Source organism: Homo sapiens, chromosome 1, assembly GCF_000001405.40.
Source record: "Homo sapiens chromosome 1, GRCh38.p14 Primary Assembly".
NCBI lineage: Eukaryota > Metazoa > Chordata > Mammalia > Primates > Hominidae > Homo > Homo sapiens.
In genome coordinates this window covers 114,392,585-114,418,561 of record NC_000001.11, presented here as the reverse complement: position 1 = coordinate 114,418,561, position 25,977 = coordinate 114,392,585, and the positions used below count along the sequence as shown (strand labels likewise).

General features: G+C 36.1%; 1 protein-coding gene across 6 annotated transcripts in view; it reads left to right on the top strand.

Annotated features, from left to right (window-relative positions):
* Nucleotides 1-25,772, top strand: part of TRIM33 (tripartite motif containing 33) — a 118,414-nt gene extending 92,642 nt beyond the window's left edge. For 3 of the 6 annotated variants that reach the window (NM_015906.4, XM_011541568.4, XM_005270936.5), the window contains 9 exons: nucleotides 8,246-8,378; nucleotides 9,822-9,885; nucleotides 11,462-11,621; nucleotides 12,803-13,152; nucleotides 15,679-15,802; nucleotides 17,099-17,173; nucleotides 18,953-19,105; nucleotides 20,572-20,622; nucleotides 20,702-25,772. In NM_015906.4, coding sequence (NP_056990.3) covers nucleotides 8,246-8,378; nucleotides 9,822-9,885; nucleotides 11,462-11,621; nucleotides 12,803-13,152; nucleotides 15,679-15,802; nucleotides 17,099-17,173; nucleotides 18,953-19,105; nucleotides 20,572-20,622; nucleotides 20,702-20,914 — 1,323 coding nt within the window. In that variant the 3' untranslated portion in view covers nucleotides 20,915-25,772. The remainder of the gene's footprint in view (nucleotides 1-8,245; nucleotides 8,379-9,821; nucleotides 9,886-11,461; nucleotides 11,622-12,802; nucleotides 13,153-15,678; nucleotides 15,803-17,098; nucleotides 17,174-18,952; nucleotides 19,106-20,571; nucleotides 20,623-20,701) is intronic. The other 3 variants (NM_033020.3, XM_047422512.1, XM_005270937.5) reach the window with 1 other exon arrangement.

Here is a 25,977-nt window from a genome sequence, read left to right as displayed (position 1 = left end):
GGTGGTCTCTTTTTAACTTTACAAAGGCAGTTGAGTTTTGGGGAAGGGCTATTATGTAAACCATAAACTAAATGTCTCCCAAAGTCAGCTTGTCTCAAGCCCAGGAATAATTAATATCAGCATGAAGGTTAAAGGCAAAGAAGAGGGAGGTTGACTAGATCAGATCCTCCCCGACTCTTTCACTGATAGAATTTTTGCAAAGGCAGTGATACAGTTTGGCTCTGTGTCCTCACCCAAATCTCACCTCGAATTGTAATCCCTACTGGTCGAGGGAAGGACCTGTTAGGAAGTGATTGGATCATGGCGGTGGTTTCCCTCATGCTGTTCTCACAAGATCTGATGGTTTTTAAAGTGGCAGTTTCCTCTGCACTCACTCTCTCTCCTACTGCCTTGTGAAGGTGCCTGCTTCCCCTTTGCCTTCTGCCATGATTGTAGGTTTCCTGGGGCCTCCCCAGCCATGCAGAACTGTGAGTCAATTTAAACCGCTTTTGTTTATAAATTACCCAGTCTCAGGTAGTATCTTTATAGCAGTGTGAAAACGAACTGATGCAGTTTCATTGGTGACTTTCCTAGAGTCACATGATAGATAGAAAAGTTGGAATTTTAGGCTGGGTGCAGTGGCTCACGCCTGTAATCCCAGCACTTTGGGAGGCTGAGGCAGGCAGATCACCTGAGGTCAGGAGTTTGAGACCAGCCTGACCAACATGGAGAAACCCCATCTACTAAAAATACAAAATTAGCCGGGCATGGTGGTGCATGCCTGTAATCCCAGCTATTTGGGAGGCTGAGGCAGGAGAATTGCTTGAACCTGGGAGGTGGAGGTTCCAGTGAGCCGAGATCGCGCCATTGCACTCCAGCCTGGGTAACAAGAGTGAAACTCTATCTCAAGAAAAATAAATAAATAAATAAATAATAAGAAAAGTTGGAGTTTTAAGTCCAGACTACTAATTATAAATCCAGTTCTTTCTCCACACTACCTGTAACAATACCAGGGAGGCAGTGTGGGATTGTAGGCCTGGAAACACATGGTATTGACAGCTTTGGGCAGCCAGAGGTATGTACAGTATAACAATGTCATTCAGTTTTTACTAAGCACTTACTGTATGCTAAAGTCCTCAAGCATTGAGGATAAGATAAACAAGACTTGGTTCTAGTTCTTAAGAAACTTAGAAAGGGAGAGGCAAGTATCATCTACTTTTTTATTGAAATACAATTCATATACCATGAGATCCACTCTAAAAATGTACAGTTCAGTGGCTTTTAATGCATTCACAAGATTGTACAACCATTACCACTAATTCAAGAATATTTTCATCACCTCAAAAGAAATGGTACTCATTAGCAGTCACTCATATCCTTCTCTTCCAGCCCCTGGAAACCACTAATCTACTTTGTCTCTGTGGACATTCCACATGTGAATGGAATTATATTTGGCCTTTGATGTCTGGCTTCTTTTACTTAGCATAATGTTTTCCAGGTCTATCCATGTTTTAGCATGTATTAGGATTTCATTTTTTATGGCTGAATAATATTTCATTGTATACATATATCATTTGTTCATCATTGAACATTTGCTTTTCTTCTCTGGCTGTCAGGAATAATGCTGCTGTGAGCTTTCATTTACAAGTTCATACAAGTATGAACGTAGTGTACCAGGCTGTTGTTGCATTGCTGTTTATAAAGAAAAGAGGTTTAATTGTGTAACTGTTCTGCAGGTTTACAGGAAGCATATTCAGGCACATTTATGGATTATTTTTAACTCTTTTTCTACTGAATTTGGCTAGATTAAGAATTCACATGGAGAAAACCTAGCATTAGCATTAGTTTAAGCTGGTGAAATAGCCAAGACAGCTAAGTTTAAGACTCAAATGTAGAGGTGAAGTCTCAATTTTCTTTTGCCTAATCAAGAAAAACTTCCTCAAGGACTGAATTATACTTTAGTGTGTAGATATGAGATATATTTGTTGGTCAAGATAGAGTATGGTATATGCAATGGCTTGAGGGAGTGAGAAGGCACAACTGGAGTAATACAGAAGTGAGTTGTTATACAAAATAGAATAGATGAGGAATTATTTGTATAGCTTTTGATTATACTAAGTCAGATGTATTAATGGTGATATAGTTAGGTAACTAGAAGAAATATATTAAAATGAAGAATTTTAGCATTTACATTTTATTTATGCAAGAAGGTAATAGGAGATAGTAAATGGAAAACAGGGAATGTTTTGTAGTATATTTAGTGTTTCACTTATGGTACAGTACATGTATCTCATTAATCAGTTTTAGAACATTTCTGTTTGTTGGTAAAATGTAATATTTTCCTGATAATCAGTAGAACAGCACCTAAATATGGAATCCTTTTATTAGGTTCAAGGCCAAGTCTTCAATACTGCATAACACTAGAACATTTCTGGAAACTTGGATCACTATTAATGCACTTGTATATTTTCTTTAACAAATATCTGAGAACTTACCATGTATTAAGACCCTAAGTACTGATTATAGAAGGATCAAACGGAAATGGTCCTTGACCTCAAGGAGTTTCTTATATAATAGGGAGACAGTTTTCTTTTGTTCTTTTTTATTGCTGTTGTGCTTTTTTTTTTTTTTTTTTTAGATGGAGTCTTTGTTGCTCAGGCTGGAGTGTAGTGGTGCAGTCTTGGCTCATTGCAGCCTCTGCCTCCTGGGCTCAAGCAATTCTTATGCCTCAGCCTCCAGAGTAGCTGGGACTATGGGCGTGCACCACCCCGCCCGGCTAATTTTTTGGATTTTTAGTAGAGACAGGGTTTCACCATGTTGGCCAGGCTGGTCTCGAACTCCTGACCACAGGTGACCTGCCCACCTCAGCCTCCCAAAGTGCTGGGATTACAGGCGTGAGCCACTGCACCTGGCCGGGTGACAGTTTTCTAAACAGGGTCAAAACAGTGAGCTTATTGGTACAAATGGATGTGTATAGATGACAGTGAAAGAATAGAGGCAGAAGATCCTACATCTGCCTGTGGAAGTCAGAGAATAAACTTTATATGAGATAATCTTAAATTTGGACTTGAAAGATAAGTAGGCAAGTGTTAGCTAGTCAAGGTTAGTTAGAAGGCAGATATTCCAGATAGGAATTATGTATGCTGAAGCAACAAAGGGCATGAAAGGAGTGTGAGATTCAAAGCAGTTAGGTATACTGTAGATGATAATTTCAAATCGGAGGTCAGATTTTGTGATTTTTCTTTTTTATGCTGACTTTGTCACTGTTTTATTTTAAGCTCTCTTAAACCTGGGTGCAGTGGCTCTGCCTGTAGTCCCAGCACTTTGAGGAGGCCAAGATAGGAAGAGCACTTGAGGCCAGGAGTTCGAGACTAGCTTGGGCAACATAGCAAGACCCAGTCTCTACAAAAACAATTAAAAATGAGCCGGGCATCTTGGCATGGACCTGTATTCCTGGCTGCTTGGGAAGCTGAGGCAGGAGGATCCCTTTAGCCCAGGGGATCAAGGTTGCAGTGAGCCGTGATCGTGCCACTGCACTCCAGCCTGGGCAACAGAGTGAGACCCTGTCTCAAAAAAAAAAAAAAAAAAAAAAATAGAATCTACCTCATGGATATGTTGGTAAGATTAAGTTTGGTGCCTGACATATAAGTATTTAATAAATGTTAGTTGTTATGATTATTTTTCTCTTCCTTTTCTTTTTCACCAGCCCTCATTATTAAAAAGTAAGCTTTGGGAGGAAGGACCACTATTACGCTTTTGTATTATGCTTAATAGGAAAATTATAAGCATTCATCCAAGTGTGTTGAGTACTTTGTACTTGTCTTGAGGAACAGTAGGGATAAGAGAGACCTGCTGTCATAGAGTTTACAGGCCAGGAGAATGCAGACATTTATAGATTTTTTAAAACCCTACCTATAATAAATTGTATAGCATTACTCAAAGGGGAAATTGTAAGGCATCAACCTAAGGTGAGTATATACCAGGAGAACCCAATAAAACTTAGTGGATTGTTAAAGCCTCTTTGAAACCTGGAAGCGGGGTAAGAGTTAGTAGGGAGATGTCATCAGTAAATTTTATTAGGAAAAAGGGCAGAATTTCAAATCCCACAAGGTCTGAAGGAACTGGGCACTTTTGAAGAACAGAAAAAAGGCCAGTGAAGAACAGGAAAGAGAGAAGGGCCTAGTTCTGTAGAGGAAAATGGAAACTAGATCAGGTAGGGCCTTTGTAAGCTGCATAAAGGATTTTGGATTTTATCCTAAACTCAGTGAGAAAGCATTTTTGAAGGGTTTTGGTGGGGTAGGATCAGTGTACATGACCTATCAGATTTGCCTACTTTTTAAAGGCTTTTATGAGCCATATAAAACCATTGTAGCTTTTAAAAAAGAAAAAGGAAAAAAACAAAAATAGTTGTCTACCCCATTCTTTCACCTGACTAAATCCCAGCACTATAACCAATTGGTGTACATCCTTTCAGATTTTTCCCTAGGAATATGCAAACACGAATTTAAAAACGTGTGTGTGTGTGTGTGTGTGTGTGTGTGTGTGTGTGTGTGTGCCTGTGATTTATTTTGGTTTATTTTGTTTTGTTTTGAGACAGGGTCTCACTCTTTTGCCGAGGCTGGAGTGCAGTGGTGCTCAAGGGATCCTTCTGTCCCAGTATCCCCAGTAACTGGGACTACGGGCACATGCTACCATGCCTGGCTAATTTTTAAATTTTTCTTTTGTAGAGATGGGGTCTTGCTACTAATAGTTGACTAGACTGGTTTTGAACTCCTAGTCTCAAGTGATCCTCTTACCTTGGTATCCGAAAGTGTTGTGATTACAGATATGAGCCAACCTGGCCATCCTGTAATTTTTTTAAGTAACAGAAAATGAGATTATACCACATGTACACACCTAGTGCTATAAATACTGTGTTGCAAGTTTTACCTTTTTTTTTTTTTTTTTTTTTTTTACAGTTTTGCTTTTGGACTTTTTCTTTTCAGAAAAAGTCTTTTTCTTTTCTTTTCTTTTTTTTTTTTTTTGAGATGGAGTTTCATTCTTGTTGCCCAGGCTGATGTGCAATAGCACGATCTTGACTCACCTTAACCTCTGCCTCCCAGGTTCAAATGATTCTCCTGTCTCAACCTCTCGAGTAGCTGGGATTACAGGCATGCACCACCATGCACAGCTAATTTTGTATTTTTAATAGAGACGGGGTTTCTTCATGTTGGTCAGGCTGGTCTCCAACTCCCAACCTCAGGTGATCTGCTCACCTCGGCCTCCTAAAGTGCTGGGATTACAGGCGTGAGCCACTGCGCCCAGCTACTTTTGGACTTTTTCATGTCAGTTCTTAGAGCTTTCTTGTGTTTTAATCCATATGGTATTCCATTTCATTGGATGTTTTTTTAGCCCTCTGTTGGTGAACTTTTGGTTTATCTCTCACATGTTACTATTAAAAACAAAGCTGCATTTGTGAAAAGATGTTAAGATCATTAGTTATTAGGAAAATGCAAGTTAAAACCACAGTGAGATGTACCACGACATACTTATTAGGATGGCTAAAATTAAATAGACTTAACATTAACCATAGCAAGTATTGGTGAGAATGTGGAGGAACTAGAACCTTCAAACACTGTTGGGATTGTAAAATGGTACAATCACTTTGAAAAAAGTTCAGCGGTTTCTTTAAAAGTTAAACGTGTATCTGTCATAATGATTCAGCCATTCTGCTTTTATTTGCCAAAAGAAAACAGGAAATATTTCTATACAAAGATTCGTACTCAAATGTTTATAGCAGCTTTGTTTGTAATAAGACAAAAACTGGAAACAACCCAAATATCCACCTGCAAATAAATGGATAAACAAATTGTGTGTTCATATAATAGAATAGTAACTAACAGTGAAAAGGAATGAACTGGATCCAACAGCAAGGATAAATCTCAGTTTTACCAAGTGAAAAAAATAGATGAAAAAAGCGTACAGTATATAATTCAAATTATATAAAACTCTGGAAAAAAAAACTAAAGCTGAAGGAAGCAGATGAGTGGTTGGTTGAGGACAGGTTGTTTGAGAGAGGGATTGATTACCATGGGGCATGAGGAATCTTGGGGGTGATAGATATGATCTGTTCACTATTCTTGATTTGGGTTTCCCAGTTGTAGACTATGTGAAAATGTGTTAAACTTTCACATCAGGTACTACACTTTGAATATATTTAGTTTATTGTACATCATTTATACCTTAATGTCATTTGTAAAAAGCTGCATTGAGGCACAATGACTGTATAGTTTTAAACACATATTTCTGTAAGCGAAGTTGGTAGAAGTGTAATTACTGGGCCAAAAGTAATTACACATTTAAATTTCACATAGGTATTGGCAAATTGCTCTACAAAAAATATTGTGCCAGCTTATATATTTGAAAATGCCCATTTTTGCATTGTCTTCCCAATACTAGGTAAATTAATCATTCTTCCATCTTTTCCAGTGATGGATTAAAATGACATTATTGTTAACTTTATTTTCATTTCTTTGATTGGTGAAATTGGTTTTCTTATGTTCGTTGATTATTTTTATTTCTTCTGTAAATTATCTTTGTCTTTTGTGAAATATCTTTGCTCATTTTCCTATTGGACTGTGTTTTTACTTTTAAATCATGAAAATTATTTATATAATAATTATATTTCCATGTACTTATTCAGGGATGCTCAAAAAACATTGCTTTAATGAATAAATGAATTAATGTCTTTCCAGTTAGACTTCTAACTTTATTTATGGTGACTATCCATGTCTAGTGAAACCCACAGGTGAATGCTTCAGTTAGCACCTATCTGTTGGAGGTTATAATGACATCAGGGATGTCCTTTAATGTATTTCCTGTTTGCCTCTTCCTGACCTGTCCATCCTCTACCCTTAGAGTTATCTTTCTAGCAAAAGATACAAATTGCAGGTGAGGAGTATAAAAAGGAGTGGAAATAGGTAACATGGGATTTTCATGTCAGTTTTGAATCATCTTCCCCCTTCTGTTTTTAGGTGGGATGCATCCCCATTTTCATCTCTGGCCCATATTAGGTACTCCCCCCTCATAACAAATCTTCCTGTTGACTTGAGTTGCAGCTAGGGATTCACCTGTAGTCACAGCTTTGCAAGTGCATCCTTGGCCAACAGCTATGACCACAGGGTAACACAACTGCTATTGTCCTTTGATTATCCCTCCAACTAACCTACTGCCTACTCCTACCTTCAGCCCTTCATGTCTCTGGCATGGGTTTTGTTTTGTTTGTAATCCCAGTACTTTGGGAGACTAAGGTGTGCAGATTGCTTGAGCTCAGGAGTTGGAGACCAATCTGGGCAATGTAGCAAAATCCCATCTCTATAAAAAAAAAACACAAAAATTAGCCAGGCGTTGTGGCGCATGCCTGTAGTCCTAGCTATTCAGGAGGCTGAAATGGAGGGCATGGCTTGAGCCTGGGAGGTGGAGGTTGCAGTGAGTCAAGATGATGCCACTGCTCTTCAGTCTGGACAGCAGAGCCAGACCCTGTCTCAAAAATAAATAAAAGAAGAATATGACCATTTCTTTTATGAAATAGTATAAGATTTAAGGTAATATTCATACTTAAATAATTTTTTTTACTCTTTCTTACACATTTTGTCATTTAATCATCGGAGTTCTGCAATATAGGTGGCATGTTTTAAGGATAGGAAACTGACGTTCAGGTTGAGAACCAGCCCAGAATCATAGTTATGGGTCTTCTGGCTTTATCGTACTGCCTCTAAGTAAGGGAAGGGCTCATATGTACTGTTAACTGTGCCCTTTTTTTTTTGTAGTAAGGGGCCTTGTGTGTCAAGCTAAGGGCTTTCTGTGGGCTATAAGAATTTTTCAGAGTTTCAGAGCTGGGTACTAACATAATTACATTTCTATTTAAGTGAATGATTGTGGACACTGAAATGGAGGGATACTGGGGACAAGAATACTGATAAATAGGTCCTGCAGCAATTTTGAGAAACAGCAGAAGTGTCAGAGCATGTCAGCTATTTTCATAATAGAACATATAGGATTTGTTTTGCTCTGAGCACCTAGTTGTTTGCTGAATAATACAGTTTTATCTAAATAAACTTTATACTGTGTGGGCCCTCAGTGGACCCTAAGGAAGCAATAATAAGGCTCAGCTTGATATTGGATAATCTGTTAGTTTATTAATAAACTGAGTATAAGCAGTGACATAAAATTAATAACTTCTCTGCTTTAATCAAAGCAAATTTGTCTTTATCTTCTTTCTCTTCAGTTGGAAGATGCTGGCTCAAGTAGTTTAGATAATCTACTAAGTAGATACATCTCAGGCAGTCACCTACCCCCACAGCCTACAAGCACCATGAATCCTTCTCCAGGTCCCTCTGCCCTTTCTCCGGGATCATCAGGTAAAGCAAACGGGTATTACCTTATTTTTTAACACCTTAAAAAAACAGTGTCAGTATCTGTCTTAGTCAGAATTCTCCAGAAAAACAGAATAAGTAGGAGGTCTACTTGAAGAGAGAAAGGGAGATTGAGAGAGATTTATTTTAAGGAATTGGCTCATGTGATTGTGGGTGTTGGCAGGGAGGTGAGGCAGGCTGGAGACCCAGGTAAGAGTATTGTTACAGTCTTGAGACAAAATTTCTTCTTTGGGGCATGAGGAGGTAGGGGAGAGAACAGGGCTCCGTCTTCTCTTCTCTCTTAAAAGGGCTTTACCTGATTATATGAGGCCCACTTGCATTATGGAATATAATCTACTTTTCTCAAAGTCAACTTGTTGAAATGTTAATTAATCCCATCTAAAAAAATACCTTCACAGTACCATCTATACTGATGTTTGGCCAAACTGCTGGGTGTCATATCCTAGCCAAGTTGACACAATAACATATTTTTTTCTTGATTGTTCTTTGTAATTATTTTTGTTCAAATACTATTGGTACTCTTTCAGTAACTGAAGCCATATTAATATATATCTGTAGTCTACACTATTTGGAACTCCAAATTACTCAACCCTTAGTATATTCACAGTCTTTCATGGGTTTAATCTTATATTTTACAATACAGAGTCAGTTGAAGAGTTCTTTGGTTCCAAGTCAACTTTAAAACACTTAGTAAAATAATGAAACATTGAAAAATTATTTAAAAAGTAAGAGCTAAAGAAGGGCAGGTTAATTTTCAAACTGTAATTTTAAAATAAACATTTTGCTGAAAACTATTAAAATAGCCATGATATGTAGCTCTCTTCCAAAATCCCAGCGGTTTTATTAACCCTATTACTCAGTGATTCAATTGGGACTCTTGAATACATGATTGAAGCAACTCCAAACAGGTTAACAGTCTAGAAGTGTTATTGAATGTATTTTTCTAACGTAAATTAAATGTTATTTTTTTCTTACTGAAACACACCACCTACTTCTTTCTAGAGGAAGAACAATTCACATGTAAATATGGATTTTCCATGAGATGCAACATTAACATATTTTTAAATCACATAATTTTTAAGGTTTAATAAGAATTATTTCAGGACTTCTGAAAATAATTAATGGGAACCTAAGTAGAATATTTTATCAAATAACTTGTTGAGGGATGGCAGATAACGTTTTCTTGGTCTGTTTTGTTGACTGGATAGTGGTGCCCTGAGGAGGATTCTGAGGTGATGTCTGGACACAGCTGAGAGAAACTGGTTGATGTCTGCTAATGGTTACACATGCGTCCCTGACTTTGTGACTAGGTCTGATTTCCAATAATTTTTTAGCTGGGTTATAATAATCTTGAGTTCTGTGACCGGTAGGTAGAATTCCAAATATTCTTATATGCATTGATATTCATTTTGACTTACTACTTTTTAGGTTTATCCAATTCTCACACACCTGTGAGACCCCCAAGTACTTCTAGTACTGGCAGTCGAGGCAGGTGAGTATATTGATAATTATTTTTTTCCTTTTTGTTAAGAAAAATAGCAAATATGTATAATAAAAGTAGAATATTACAGTGAACCCCTTTATACTTAACACTCAGCTTTAACAGTGATCAAATAATGGCCAATCTTGTTTCTTCTATACTTCTGCCAATTCCTTTCTGGTCTGAATTATTTTGAAACAAATCTCAGTCATTTCACTCGTGACTGTTTCAGTATATATCACTTAATGAAAGGAACTTTAAAAATTTATAACCACAGAACCATGATCACACCTAAAAAAATTTAACAACTCATTCTTTAATATCAGTAGAGATCCAGTTAATGTTTAGTGTTCCCAATTTTTGCAACAAATGCCTTTGAAAAAAAAACCAGATGATTTCTTTGAATCAGATGCAAATAAGCTCTATACATTGCCATCAGTTTATTTGTTTACATCACTATCAGTTAATTTGTTGTAAAAATGTAGTTTCTCCTACAGTGTTTTCCCGATTTCTCCATCTTGTCATTTAAGTACATTGCCTCCTGTTTTTCTGTCTATTTTGGTATTTAGGTCAAGAGGGTTGATCAGATTTAGGTTTGATTTGGGGGAAGGGAGAGCAAGAAGACTTGGTAGTGTAGTGGTGGCATATACTTCCTTTGGGGCGAATTATGCCTGGTTGGGGGTTTTTGTGATGGCAACCGTTAATAATCATTGTTTAGCTCTATTATTTTTCTGCTGGTTGAAATATTACATTTTAATTATTGTATCATTCTTTATTTCTTTAGAATATTTCTGTAAAGAGAAGCTTTCTGTCATCAACTATTGGGTTATAGGAAAGATAGGATAAATTCTTTCTGTTTATTTCCCTGCTTTTGTGGTAATGAATTGATTTCCAACACCCTCCAACAGTGACAGTTTTATTGTTATTACCTTTATGGACTGAGATATTTAAACATACTTTATATATTTTAATCCATTATATATGTTACGTCTGTATGTATGTATATTGAACACTGAACATTATTCCATCTTTGTCCTGTCAAAGCTTTCTCAGGCTTGCTCCTTAGTCCTTTTGCTATAATCACAGCAGTCTTTTTTAAGCTTCCATGTTTCCTGTGAAACAGCATTTCGGGTTCATTTTGTACATTTCATGCTTCAGACCTGGAATCAGCCACTTTCCCAGGAAGTTCTGGTAGTGTTAGCAGGAAAGCAGGAAAATAGTGTTTGAGGATAATATTCTAGTACTAATAGCACTCATTGCTACTGAATTGTTCATTGTTTCTTAGGCCTTTTCAGTGGACAGAGCTAAGAAATAGGAGTGTGTGTGTGTGCGTGTGTGTGTGTGAAGAAAGTGCTTCAAACCATAAAATGTGTTTTTAGGGTCTTCTGAAAGTTGCTGCATAATTTTAAAGAGTTTTAAGCTAGGCTTTATACCACATTCCCCTTAACTACATTATGAGGTATCCTTATCTTCTGTAAAGTTAATTGTCTATTGTCTTCACTTTAGTGAACATTACTTTTCATATAATTGTTTTTATTTATACCATATAGTCAAACGTATGTGATCTTTATTTGTTGTTTCTTATTAGCTGTGGGTCATCAGGAAGAACTGCTGAGAAGACAAGTCTTAGTTTCAAATCTGATCAGGTGAAGGTCAAGCAAGAACCTGGGACTGAAGATGAAATATGTAGCTTTTCAGGAGGTGTAAAACAAGAAAAAACAGAGGATGGCAGGAGGAGTGCTTGCATGGTAAGCTCCCACTGGAGTCTGACAGGGACTTAAGGACATCACTTCATTGATTCTTTCAGCTCTGAGTATATTAAGACTAAGTAGTGGGTCTAGAAACATTTATTTTTGAAATTTCATGCCTGGCACAAGCCAGATATCTCTTTTTCTAACTCAACTTTTTTGTCTAAGAGTCAGCTGTAATTAATCAGAAAAGACTTAATTGTATTAAGTACTCATTTGAAATTATCTTTGAATTTGTATTTAGTCAATATTCTTCCCATGATGCTAAATCAGATTGTATCTTGTCCTGAAATTATTATTTCAGTAGTCACATTGAATCTCAGGCCACAAAAGATCTTTGGGATTCTCCTGGACCTGTGAGCTCAGCATTAAGATTGCTGACATGAAAGAAATTTATTGATCAGAGTTTTGTGATAGGAAGTTTGTCTTTTGGCTTACGTATTACTAATCATTCTGGAGTTCCTTGAGTGGAACATTTATAAAATTTCTAATACAGAATGAAGGAAGGCCAAGCCCCTCTTGGTTTAAATATTTTGATTTTTGTTTTCTCTTTCTGACCGGGCTTCTTTTTCCTTTTTTATATGGTTGGCACATGGGAATTCATCTCAAGGTATTGGTATATTTAACACAGTATATATAGATTCAGAGAGCAAGAGATTCAGCCTTGGTTTTGGAGTATTGTTACGTCTTCATCCAGAACTTGGTTTAGAAAGTACCCCCATAAAAAAAATGGGTGCCAAGGTTGGTGAACAATTTCTTTTATGTTGTTGCAGCCTTCCTACAATATAGTAGAATGATAGGTGAGCAGAAGAATATTATAGAATGCTTCTAAAATGCTATGCAAAAGATTCTGGGTGTGAAAAGGGGTGTGCCATAATTAGCTCTCTCAAGGAAAAGTATAACCCTATGCTCACTTCCCAATCAATAGCTTAACAGTTTAATTAATTTACTTATTATTTGAGTGAGACATTATCAGAGGAGCAGACCCCTTAAAATCATATGTTAGCGTGCCTGAATAATTTTGGGGTTATTGTCATTTCTTTATGGCACTATTGTGATCTATAAAATAAATTTGTTACGTCAGTATATCTATATGCATATTCACATAACTGTTAAATACACATATGGCATACAATAAAGATTAAATGATTCTTCAAGAATTTGTCATCGTTTTGTTTTAGTTGAGCAGTCCTGAGAGTAGCTTGACACCACCTCTCTCAACCAACCTGCATCTAGAAAGTGAATTGGATGCATTGGCAAGCCTGGAAAACCATGTGAAAATTGAACCTGCAGATATGAATGAAAGCTGCAAACAGTCAGGGCTCAGCAGCCTTGTTAATGGAAAGTCCCCAATTCGAAGCCTCATGCACAGGTCGGCAAGGATTGGAGGAGATGGCAACAATAAAGATGATGACCCAAATGAAGACTGGTGTGCTGTCTGCCAAAACGGAGGAGATCTCTTGTGCTGCGAAAAATGTCCAAAGGTCTTTCATCTAACTTGTCATGTTCCAACACTACTTAGCTTTCCAAGGTACCAGTGAAATAATTGATTTTTGGTGTTGATTTTCATAAGCTAAAAATAAATAACAGAAGAATGTTCAGGGCAGATGGCCTTCTAACCAGTGCATAGTATTTCTATAAAACAGGGAGCCTGTTATTCTTTTGGTATTAGCTTCCAGAGAAACTAACAATAAAATATCTAAGATCTAAGTAGTACATTAATGTTAAAGAGTAGATTTCATCTCCTGGCCTTTAGTTTATATTCAGTATAAGGAAAATAGATAAAACTCTAAATTAATAGGGGGCTAAGGTTACAAAACCTGCAGTCTGGTTCTAATTCTGTAGTAAGCTTGAGCAATTCACTAATTATCAGGGATCAGTTTTTGCATCTACAAGTGGTAGGTTTTGGTTTAGCAGAGCTGTAGTTCTTCCCTTCCATTTATTATTTTATGTTCATGCAACCTCTTGTCTCTTGATTTCAGAGACCATAAAATAGTAGAGTCATACTTGTTTTTTTCAGTCTTCTCCTTCCTCTCTTGTCCCCCAATTTCTTTTTGGTGAAAGTAAGTCAGTATTCTTGGGGTAAACCCAGCTTTTTTCTTGCTATAAATTGAAAAAAAAAAAAAAAAAAGATATATCTTCTCAAATTCCTGAGAAGCAGTAACTTTAATTGAATAATAGTGCCCTCTTTGAAAGTGTTAACCTTTTGGATTAGAAAACTAGTAGATATTTAAACAGTGCCAGAATATTTTTCTGAAGAATTGTAATTTCTTACCTAAGTCTTTGGAGATAGAGTTATTTGCTAGAGATGTAATAAGGGCCTTCTTTTTCTTTACTCTTATTTAGAAAAGAAAAGCATTGGCACTTTGATCTTGAAATTAAGAATTTTCTTTTCTTTGGGTAGTAATATTTACTGGAATGTCAGAATTTTGCCACTGAATGCCTTCTTTCAATAGCAAATGCTTTGAAAGGGTTGTAAAATGTTGGCGTAAATTAGCCAGGTGTGGTAGCTCACACCTGTAATCCCAGCACTTTGGGAGGCTGAGGCAGGCGGAGCACTTGAGGTCAGGAGTTTGAGACCAGCCTGGCCAACATGGCAAAACCCCATCTCTACTAAAAATACAAAAAAAAAAAGAACTTAGCCAGGCATGGTGGCACACACCTTGTAGTCCCAGTTACTCGGAGAGCTGAGCCAGGAGAATTGCTTGAACCTGGGAAGCAGAGGTTGCCATGAGCCGAGATTGTACCACTGCACTCTAGCCTGGGTGACAGAGCAGGACTCCGTCTCTAAAAAAGAAAAACAAATAGATTGGTTAGTACAATCCCTAGATTTAGGATCTATGTATATATCTCTCTATATATCTCCATGTATCTGTTTATATAGAGAGAGGGAGTGAATCATTTTAGAATTCATAGTTTGATAAGAAATCCTGATAAAAACAAAGTATATACTTGGCAGGGTTAAAAGATAGGAGGTAGCCGGGCATAGTGGCTTACACCTGTAATCCCAGCACTTTGGGAGGCCAAGGCAGGTGGATCACTTGAGGCTAGGAGTTTGAGACCAGCCTGGCCACCATGGTGAAAAAACCCAATCTCTACTAAAAATACAAAAATTGGCCAGGCATGGTGGCGGGTGCCTGTGATCTCAGCACTTTGGGAGGCCAAGGTAGGCAGATCACCTGAGGTCAGGAGTTGCCTGGTCAACATGGTGAAACCCCATACAAATATTACAAAAATTAGCTGGGCATGGTAGCAGGCCCCTGTGATCCCAGCTACGTAGGAGGCTGAGGCATGAGAATTGCTTGAACCCGGGAGGCAGAGGTTGGAGTGAGCCAGGATCGTGCCACTGTGTACTCCAGCCTGGAGGACCCAGTGAAACTGTGTCTCAAAAAAAATAGAAAAATCTGCCGGTCATGATGGTGCACGCCTGTAATCCCAGCTCCTAGGGAGGCTGAGGTACAAGAATCGCTTGAACCCGAGAGGCGGAGGTTGCAGTGAACCAAGATTATGCCACTGCCCTCCAGCCTGGGCAAGGGGGAGATTCTGTCTCCAAAAAAAAGGAGGTATATATACATGTGCTTGTGCCTGCAGGTATGTGTTTGTGTGTTCTAGGTTTTGACCACGAAAAAAGAACTGATTTACTTGTGGCATTTTAATACATGCCAAAACAGTACAAGATACCTGAGAAACTCTGCAACCTGTGCTCTTCTTCTTCATAAATAACTGAGTCCACATAATGGTGATACTGGGATCTGAGAGAATTGGTCTTAGGCCTTATGCTGCAAGTACTGCTCATCACTACTAAGAGACCCCCTTTTAATGCGGAGGTGCCATTTTTATAATGCATTCCAGAAAGTAATCAATTGATGCGTGACTAGGAAAATTTAGAGGAGTTTTTAATCACATGACTTCACCTGACGAGATTTCACAACTATAAAACCTCCCTTTTTTCAAAAAATTATTAAGAAAATAAACCAGGCCCCAGTCCAGGGAAGTAGCTTCTCTAGAGCAGGCTTTCTTATAATTACGTGGACTAATTGCCTATTTCCCTGTCTAGTGGGGACTGGATATGCACATTTTGTAGAGATATTGGAAAGCCAGAAGTTGAATATGATTGTGATAATTTGCAACATAGTAAGAAGGGGAAAACTGCGCAGGGGTTAAGCCCCGTGGACCAAAGGGTAAGTGTCAAATAAGTTGATTTGTCACTGGGATTCAGTAGTTGTCTGCCTATATATACACCTTTTTTTTTCCTGTGTAGCATACACAAAACCTGATAACATTTAATTTTTAATCCTGTCATCTGATGGTATATTGATGATTTCTGAAGTCTTTTTTTCCTCTAACCCTGAACTACAGACCCTTCTATCCAGATTCCTCAAACTTAACATGTCCCAACTAAAATCTTAATTTCTAATCCTCTCCCTCCAAGCACAAAACCAAGCAAATAACGACATAAAAAACTGTATTCCTCCCCCAGTATTCCCCTTAATTGAATGATACCACCATTCATTTCTGTTGCTCAGGTTAGAAACCTATTAGAAATGAAATAATAATAACTATAATATGATTTTCTTACCTTACATCATAATTTCTCATCTGGACTATTGTAGTGATCTCTTAACTGCTCTCCCCGCTTCTGCTCTTGACCTTTATAGTTTGTTTTCTGTATTAAACAGTGTTCTTTTTAAAAAAGTAAACAAGTCTATCATTTCCTTGCTTAAAATCCTCTAATAGCTTCTCATCATATTAAAAATGGAAACTCTCTCCTTACTTTACTCAGATTTTTACCAATCTGGCCTGTAGTCTGATTGCCAAAGACAGACTCTTTTGCATTGTCGTGTGGTCATTAGAGTTAAGTTTGGCTCTACTCTGGTGTATATACTGGTAAAAACCCTCATCCACTATCTGTGAAGACAAGATACGTGTTTAGGGTATACAAACTTGTATTAAAAGAAGTTTAGATAAATAGAAGACTGTGAATGTAAAATGCATTTCAGTTTACTCATGATTGGGTAAAAAAATATTTTTGGAGTTAGACTGAGAAGGCCATTTTCATTTTGAACCTGACTGGAATCATTTGAAGAAAGGGGATGATAACTTTCAACATTTGTCTTGCCTGTCTAAGGAATTACCATGAGGAGCAACAGTGATAATTTATTTACTTATTTATTTATTACCAAGTAATTTATAAATTTTTGCACAAAGTGTTAGATGTTGCTTTTGTGACTCCCTTCCATAAATTACCTTAGTTATCTTCCATTCTTACTTAAAGTAGAACAAAAGATAGTCTGAAAACAAAATGAGAAGCAAGGGAATTTTCTTTGGGTGTTTATGTTTAGTTGAGTATCTAGTAAACAGGGGGCTTGTGTTCAGTTTGTTGTAATCAAACTTTGTTGTGATATAGTTCTCATTCTCGAGAATGTTTTATTAGGAGAAAAATATTTCATGTGCTTTCCTTTCCTTGTTTGGGCCAGAAATGTGAACGTCTTCTGCTTTACCTCTATTGCCATGAATTAAGTATTGAATTCCAGGAGCCTGTTCCTGCTTCGGTGAGTTGCCTACCTTAGTAGCTCGGTGGGGAAGTCTCATAATACTTAAGAGTATGGGCTCTGGCGGCCGGGCGCGGTGGCTCACGCCTGTAATCCCAGCACTTTGGGAGGCCGAGGCAGGCGGATCACGAGGTCAGGAAATAGAGACCACGGTGAAACCCCGTGTCTACTAAAAATACAAAAAACTAGCCGGGCACGGTGGCGGGCACCTGTAGTCCCAGCTACTCCGGAGGCTGAGGCAGGAGAATGGCATGAACCCGGGAGGCGGAGCTTGCAGTGAGCCGAGATCGCGCCACTGCACTCCAGCCTGGGCGACAGAGCGAGACTCCGTCTCAAAAAAAAAAAGAAAAAAAAAAAAAAGAGTATGGCCTTAGACTAAGTTGTATTACACCTCAGCCTTCTGGAATAAGCTCTTCAACCTCTCTAAGACTCAAGTTTTCTGACACGATTTTTTACCTCATTGGGTTGTTCTGAGGATTATATAAAATAACCTATGTAAAATATTTAGCATAGTCTATAGTCATTGAGTTTTGTAAGGAATAAAGGCTCTAAAATGCTGCAATAAAAGGAAGATTAGAGGTGTTTGGTGCCTAATAAGTGGGGTAAGAATATTCTACACACATTTTATTGCTAGCCATCAGTTGTTGAATAGTACATTATTACATACCAGGCCTGTTAGAGAATATTAAATGGTAGTTGACTTGTTTACTGGGTAGCCTGAGAAATGAATTTTAAATCACAAAAGGTATAGACAGAAGGAAGATGTTTTGTACAAGCAGTAATCATCTGTTTCTGGAAAATTTGTCTCATCTTTAAGTGCAGGGATTTTAAAGTAGAAAATGACTTTCAAATGTTTTCTTTTTATGGACTATTAAAGTAGCTTCTTGGCCGGGCATGGTGGCTCATGCCTGTAATCCCATCATTTTGGGAGGCCTGGCAGGCAGATCACTTGAGTTCAGGAGTTCAAGACCAGCCTGGCCAACATGGTGAAACCCCCTCTCTACTGAAAATATAAAAATTAGCCGGGCGTGGTAGTGCATGCCTGTAATCCCAACTGCTAGGGAGGCTGAGGCAGGATAATTGCCAGGGGATGGAGGTGGCAATGAGCCACAGTTGGCGCCACTGCACCACTGCACTCCAGCCTGGGCGACAGAGCAAGACTCCATCTCAAAAATCAATTAGTCAATCAGTCAATAAAATAGCTTCTCTAACTTTACTTTTATCCCAAGGGTAGAAATTTTTCGCCAGAGTTGGGGTCAGAATTCCCTAGCGTGAACACTAAATGGTTAATAAAGTTAGTAAATTTTTCTTATGTTCTTAGTCTTACTTCCTCTGTTACTAAGTCAAGACTTCGTGATGTAAATGATATTCCCTGTTATGTTTTCCAAAAGACATCATATTCTAATTGTAACATTAATATATTTTGTAAATTTTTTTCTTTAAAAAAAAAAGAAAAACTCCTAAGGAGTCATAAAATTCTGGTAAGTCAAATGTTGCCTCAAGGCTACTGGTTGGTTACCCTTGCTAATTGCTTTCTTTCCAAATCTTATTATTAAAAGTAGGACTTTGGGGACTTGGACTAACCATGAAGATTGGCACATATGCCACATAAGATTTGGTTTTCATGAAGATGTAAAGTACATACGTCTATACTCAAAATTTGCAAGCAGCTGGCTCTATAATAATTTTTTTCCCTAAAATTAATATGCTATGCATTTTCAAATTAAACAGTTTGGCATTTTTGGAGAATTCTTATTTGCCATTATGTGCTTATTTTAGATACCAAACTACTATAAAATTATAAAGAAACCAATGGATTTATCCACCGTGAAAAAGAAGCTTCAGAAAAAACATTCCCAACACTACCAAATCCCGGATGACTTTGTGGCCGATGTCCGTTTGATCTTCAAGAACTGTGAAAGGTTTAATGAAGTATGTTAACTTCCAACCTATAGAGTCTTGATTTGTTAGTTTTTGTTTGTTTCCTTGTTTTATTTTTCTGCTGACTTTAATTTTATTAAAATTTTTTTTTCTGCTAAAGTCCTGTCAAAAGTAACATCTGATTGTATTAACAGCTCCAGTGAAGAAAATTTATTGTGTATAATTTGGAGTATATACTTAAATATAATAAATTAAGAATATTATCAAATATCCTTTTCTAAATGAGTTGAGGATTGGCATAAGTATGGAAAGTACTGTCAGTAGTTACGTATATTTTGTGGAATATGATTATAAACAGCTTACGTTTTGGGTACTATTAGGAAAGTTATCTGTACCCATGTCCTTGCATTTTATTATTGACAACATGAATGTAGAACCTTAAAATAACAAACTAATCTCTGGTGACCCATCTTGAATAGTAGCCCAGAGTATATAATACTAAGTTTTCTTATTTCAGCAGTGTGACTTTGATTAATTTTGGTTATGTTTTTTGGTTTGGGGAGTTTTTTGTTTTTTGTTTTGTTTTGTTTTGTTTTTTTTTTTTTTTTTGAGGGTAAGTTTGAGTTAGCCATGCCTTGAGAAGAAATGTATTATATACCTGTTTCAGGGAAATTGTTTTTATTAGGGATAAAATCGATTCTATTATTGTTATGGAAGAGTTTCATTGTAGGAGAAGAAAATGGAATTTAATGAGAATCCACAAAATCTTTTAAAAGATTAATACTAAAGTCTCTTTATTGCTGGTGTAATTTGGGTGCCATATGATTATTACTAAAATAAATCACATTGGATCCTGTAACGTATTCCTATAGCTGCCTCTGGAAGCATCCAGATGGCATTTTAAAATCAAAAACAAAACAAAATCCTCATAAGGTGAAAATTCTAAGTCACCTTTATAGCAGTATGGCACAGAGTATATTAGTAAAATCTCACTAGTTTGAAGTTATATTTAGTCCCAAATTCTGTCTTATTTTTCAGTGCAGTTAAATTATTTTCAAATAAATATGCTTTCATGAACTATAGTTGATAAGAAGACCCATGTTTCCTGCCTCAGTAATAAATAGTTTATGATTAACATATTGCTATACAGATAGAATTTTTATTAAGTGGTTTGTTGAAAGTTTGTCAGTTTTTTAAAGCAACGTTTCTTGTATAATATGCTTCACAAATATTTTTCTCTTGGATAGATTGATGTGTTCAGACCAATTCCTATTCAGATTGACCTTGATAATTCAAAATAAGACAATTACTGAGGTTTCACAGTAGCTTTAGTAACAGGGCTTTGTAAAGAAAATGGTTCCATGTTCTGTAGAATTTTAGAAAAGCACTTTATCTGGTTATAGCAATTTGTTCTCCCTAGTATGGCTGACTTTTCGTCGCCAATCCTATGCAGTCTCATAACTTTAGAAAGGATTATAATTTCCCTTTTTTTTTTTTGACTCTGGTATCCTTTTTAGATGATGAAAGTTGTTCAAGTTTATGCAGACACACAAGAGATTAATTTGAAGGTAAGCTTTTCAGACCATGCAAACTTGGTGAAGGAATATGCATTACCAATAGGTGAATATTCCTATCTTTTGCTTGCAGGCTGATTCAGAAGTAGCTCAGGCAGGGAAAGCAGTTGCATTGTACTTTGAAGATAAACTCACAGAGATCTACTCAGACAGGACCTTCGCACCTTTGCCAGAGTTTGAGCAGGAAGAGGATGATGGTGAGGTAACTGAGGACTCTGATGAAGACTTTATACAGCCCCGCAGAAAACGCCTAAAGTCAGATGAGAGACCAGTACATATAAAGTAAAATGACATGGATTTAAATCAATTGTTTAAAAAAAAAAAAACGAAAAAAAAAAAAAAAACACAAAAAACCCAGAAAACTTTTAAGTGTTGCTGGAATATCCTGCCTACAGTGGGCACCTCCTTGAAGAAGCTGATAGCTTTTACACAGTATTAGATTGAAATAATGGACAGAAACACATTCTTGTCAAGAAAGGGGGAGAGAAGTCTGTTTGCAAGTTTCAAAGCAAAAAGCAAAAGTGAAATGATTTGAGGATTTCTGTTCTAATGGAGATGATTCTCTGATTGTTAGAAATGGCAAATATTGATGATTGTGTGCTATTGATTGGTGCAGGATACTTGGTATACGAGTAAATACTTGAGACTCGTGTCACTTGATAAATTTTCTTTTTGGACTAGGTCGCACAGTTATTAAAACAACTTTTAACCCTCCCCCTTCACACACATACATATCAGGTTGTTTTCTAGTTAAAAACCCAAGTAGCTCAGATTCTACTTTAATGTCAGTGCAGATTTGCATTGAATCATGCCATTATGTTTTTTCTCATTTTTATGCTGTTGGGTCTTAGTTTTTAAATTGATATAAAGAACTCAGCAATGGTTTTATTTTCTACTCATACTTAGGGTTTAGGAAACACTACCACTAGTTATCATTTAATCAACTTCAATGGTCTACTGAAACAAAAATGGTAACTTTTCATTAGTGGATTATTTAGAGTTATAGTAGTTGTTTCCAGAAAACACTTCCTCACAATTGTACTTCCCAATCAAATCATGTGATCATACAGTTATTCCCATGAAAGGCAGAATGTTTGTTTCAAAATTAATCTAGTTTTCTGTACATTTAAATTTGAGAAGGTGACAACTGGCTCTTTTCCAGTCTTCCTTCATGTCAGTTTTCTGATAGACCACTATTGGCAAACAGTATCTGTCAACTACCAAATGTGTAAAATTTTCTGTATTTCACTTTGTCTTATTTGTAAATAGTGAACTAAAACTTTTGGCAGATCAGCAACATTTGCTGAGCCTGTTTTTTAAGCTAATGTGTATTCTTACTAATGTTCCTATCAAGAATGGATTTGTAATATATGCTGTCTATTTCTAATGTTCACATTCATATTTTGAGGTTCTATCTTATTTTAATAGAGAACAGACTTCTCAAAAAATCTTCAGAAGCAGCTTATTATTGAAATATCGAAATATTGAAATAAACCCGGTGGGGTTAGATTACTCATCTGTCCACCAAGTGGGACATTTGCATGGACTGGGGGCTTAAAGGACTTAGAAGAGACCTGTAAGTAAATCCTGAAAATGAGCCAATCCCCACTTGAATGGTTACTGGAGTAAACCCACCTTTACCACCCCAATTACAGCACCCGAGGCCGATAAACCAACTTGGCTCTGGTTCATTTTTCTTTTCTTCATTTGTGATGCTCAGATTCAAAATGTGTGTTCTACACTGTTACAGGCTTCTCTTTTGTTTGATTAAAGATTTTAGTCCTACTTTTGTATGGACACATTAGAATATTCAGAGACCAAAATAGAAGAATTTGCTGTTAGATATTTTTCAGAAGTCAGCAGATTTGTGGCAAATCATTTATTTGCCTTTTTAAAAATTCATTTAAGCAGTTCAGAGAGTAGACTACTCAGAAAATTATTTCACGTAATTGTCTAAGAGGTCAATATTTTTTAATGCATATTGAATCAAATAAAGTGCTCTAAAGAAATTATTATACAAATTCCTTTGGGTTGTTTTTCTTTTCTTAACAAGGGGTGGGGGTAAACAGGAATATGATTCAGGCTTTCTGGTTGTGTATTTAAAGAGTATTGATTTTATTATTACTATTGATTTACTTTATTCCTGGCTTCCTTTTCACTTTTCTTTCAATTTTTAAAAAATAATTTAAGCCGTTGAAAATATACCAAACTGTTGAAACATTTTACTCAAATTTTAAATTCCTAAAAATGTTTTTTAATAAGAGGGAGAAAATTATTTAAAAATACTTATGCCTATGCCAATTTCCCTCTTTTTTCACAAAATCCATGATTTCAGTTTGTAAGTAGACATATATCTAAGGGCACATTTTTGGAAAGTGAGGAATAGCAGCAGTATAACTTCATTTTGTCAGGCCTTTGAGTTCTAATATTTTGTATTGCTCTTCAAATGGATCCTTTTAAAAAAATTGTAGATAATGAGTCATAAATAGATTCTGCCAACTGAGGGGAGAAACATTTTAAGTAAATATTTTTCAGTATTTGGGGCCTTAAAAAATAATTGTGTTTCCTTAAAATTACATGTTAGATAGAGTTTTTAGGTTTTTTTGGTTTTAAGATTGGTTAAAGCAATTTAAAAGCCACTTTTTTGTCAACATTTAATAGCCTCCACTTCTGTTAAGATAATGTATACTGCTGAGGAATTACTATTAATAGCTATCAACATACCACCATTAAATTAAGGTATTCACTTTAGATTTTTTATTAAAGCTTTTTTCTTGCACACTGATCGTTGTGTTTCTAAGCTGATTTTTTCAGCTCTAATATACCTATGGTTAAAAAGTATAAAAACTTAAATTGATATTTAGATATATGTTTTCCTATTAGTTTATGTTTTAAAAAGACAAAATTGTATCTGTCAGTCCCTGAAGGCAGTTTGTTTTTATACTCTCTCACATTTGTATTTGTTTTTTAAATGGCAGTATTTTAGAAGATTTGGAGAAAAGTCCACATAATAATGTTTTCTTAAAAGCTTTTAAAGTTTTTGCTGTACTTCAATTTACTTCTTCCATCAGAAAACTAAGAACAAAGTGTTGCTCAGTCTGTTCCGCTGACCTAAATTTGTGTTTTCAGCACTTGGCTCAGCCAATTCACTGAGTGAAGGAATTGCTTTATGAGGCAAAGCATGTGAAAGTTCTAAAGTATGGTTAGATTGTAGGTCGTGCTCTATATGGAAACATCAAACCATTACTACAGAGAAATGATAAGGCATTGGATCCACTATTGAAATTATTATTTTTGGATCAACAAGTTGGTACTTTCTGACTTCTGTATCTTAACATAAGGGAATTTTAGGTAATGCTAAGTCAGTTGTCTCATTTTTTGTGATAAGTTTTGGAATTTTTAGTTAATTGAAATAAATAATGCTTTTAAATAGAAGTAAAAGGTTTATAAGTGTGCAAATTGTAGATTTATCAATTACCTCAGCAGGTATCCTGCCATGTAATTATTAGTGATTAGTGTTAATAAGATAATAGATTCAGGTCTTCCAACTATGCCCTTGGATTGTGGCCTACTGTATGTTATTAAATGGTCTCTTACTATCCAAAATGGGAGTAGATGCTGTGGCCCCGTCTCCCTTGGCTTTTACGTCCCATATCCACCCCCATTCATGTACAACATGTGAAATATAAAAATCTCATTTCTTGTCAAAATCAGCACTGCTTATTTGCATACTCAGCATCGGATCAGTGAGTAGTTTTATAAAAAATCCACGCACCCAACTCCCTTAGTTAAAACAGATTCTTAATTCATACCATGAATTCTTAATTTCTGTACCATCTATGTTAATGATCTGCTGAAGGTGACTCAAGATTTTCAAGGTGTAATACAGTTTGATCATGTACCGGACCTGGATATTTAATTTTTTTTCCCTCACAGTTAATCTCCTCCTTGATAAAGCAATAACACTGCTTTGAGTCTGTTGCCTAATAGCATGTCAGAATCCTCTCCTGGATGGTGATTTTATAGGAAAGTTTGTATGCATATCACCCAGTCTATCTTTTAAAAATTAAGAAATTTAAATGTATGCTGGAAGTAATGACACTATATTGTGGCATTTTATTTTAAAAATTGGGGAAAGTTGCATATTTTTTTAAAAGTAAGTGTTTGAGTAAAAAAATTGAAGGTACTTTTTTAAGGAAAAAAATTTATATGCCACAGTTTACATAGACATTTCAGATTCAACACGTACTCTTGAATATAATGGTTTCTTTTACTTGGTCAAAATGCATGTATAGCATTTCTTTCATCTTAGTTCCTTGTGTTTGCCTATGTGGTCCTTTATATATTTTTTATTGTATCGAAGAAACAAAACTATCTTCAAAAATAAGTTAATTTGGATATATTTGTCATATCAAACTACAAAGTGTACAAAGTTAAGTTTAGCCCTTTTCTAGAAAGTGATCTTTAAAATTAAAAATGCTCCTCTTTTAAATTCACCAAATTTATGTGTGGGAAGGCACCAAAATGATTTTGTAAGTGCCACTGCAATATTCCCTTTCAAGTGTGGCCTAAATTTCAATCTTAAGGATGGAATGCATGTCTGCTCCTTGTTCTGAAAAATGTAGGCATCTACTACATTTTAAAACACAGTGAAACATATACATAAGCCTATAAAAAAAGATTTGTGCAATTTGAAAGCCTGTTAATTTTTTATGTAGACATACCTACACACGAAAGGGTTAAATTCACAGCCTTACTAGTTCCTTGCTTCCAGTATTTCAATTGGTCTCCTCCCCTCATTATTATTATTACTACTAGTACTATTATTTTTGCACATAGTTAACTGCCCTTCAATATGATTCTTAAAAAGTGCTGTTTCTGTGGTATCGTATTCTCTAAATAATCATATTTAATTTTTTAAAACAAGGTTGCAGTTTCTAATTGTTTCGTTCCTGTGTTTTTGCTGGTGTGTAATAAAAGCAAGTTTTTTCTTTTCATGGTTATTTAATACATTAGCTGCCTGTAAATAATTCTTGTTATAATGCTCTGGAATGTGTTGTAGAAGTTGTATTAGATTAGTTTTAAACCCTTGTTTGAAAGCCACATTGTTTTGGTTATTTCTATTAAATTAGAAAATTGAAAAAGTTTTCAAATGAATTTCTTTTTTTCTTCTTCTGTGAGTTGAAACTTAATCATAGTTTTAAATCATTTTAAAAATTTACACTGTGTGCCAGGCACCAAAGATACAGTAGTGAACAAGAAGATATAGTCGTTGCCTTCACAGACTTTAGACTCTGTGTTAGAGTAATCAATGTTATGATAGGGATTAACAGAATATAATTGTAATGC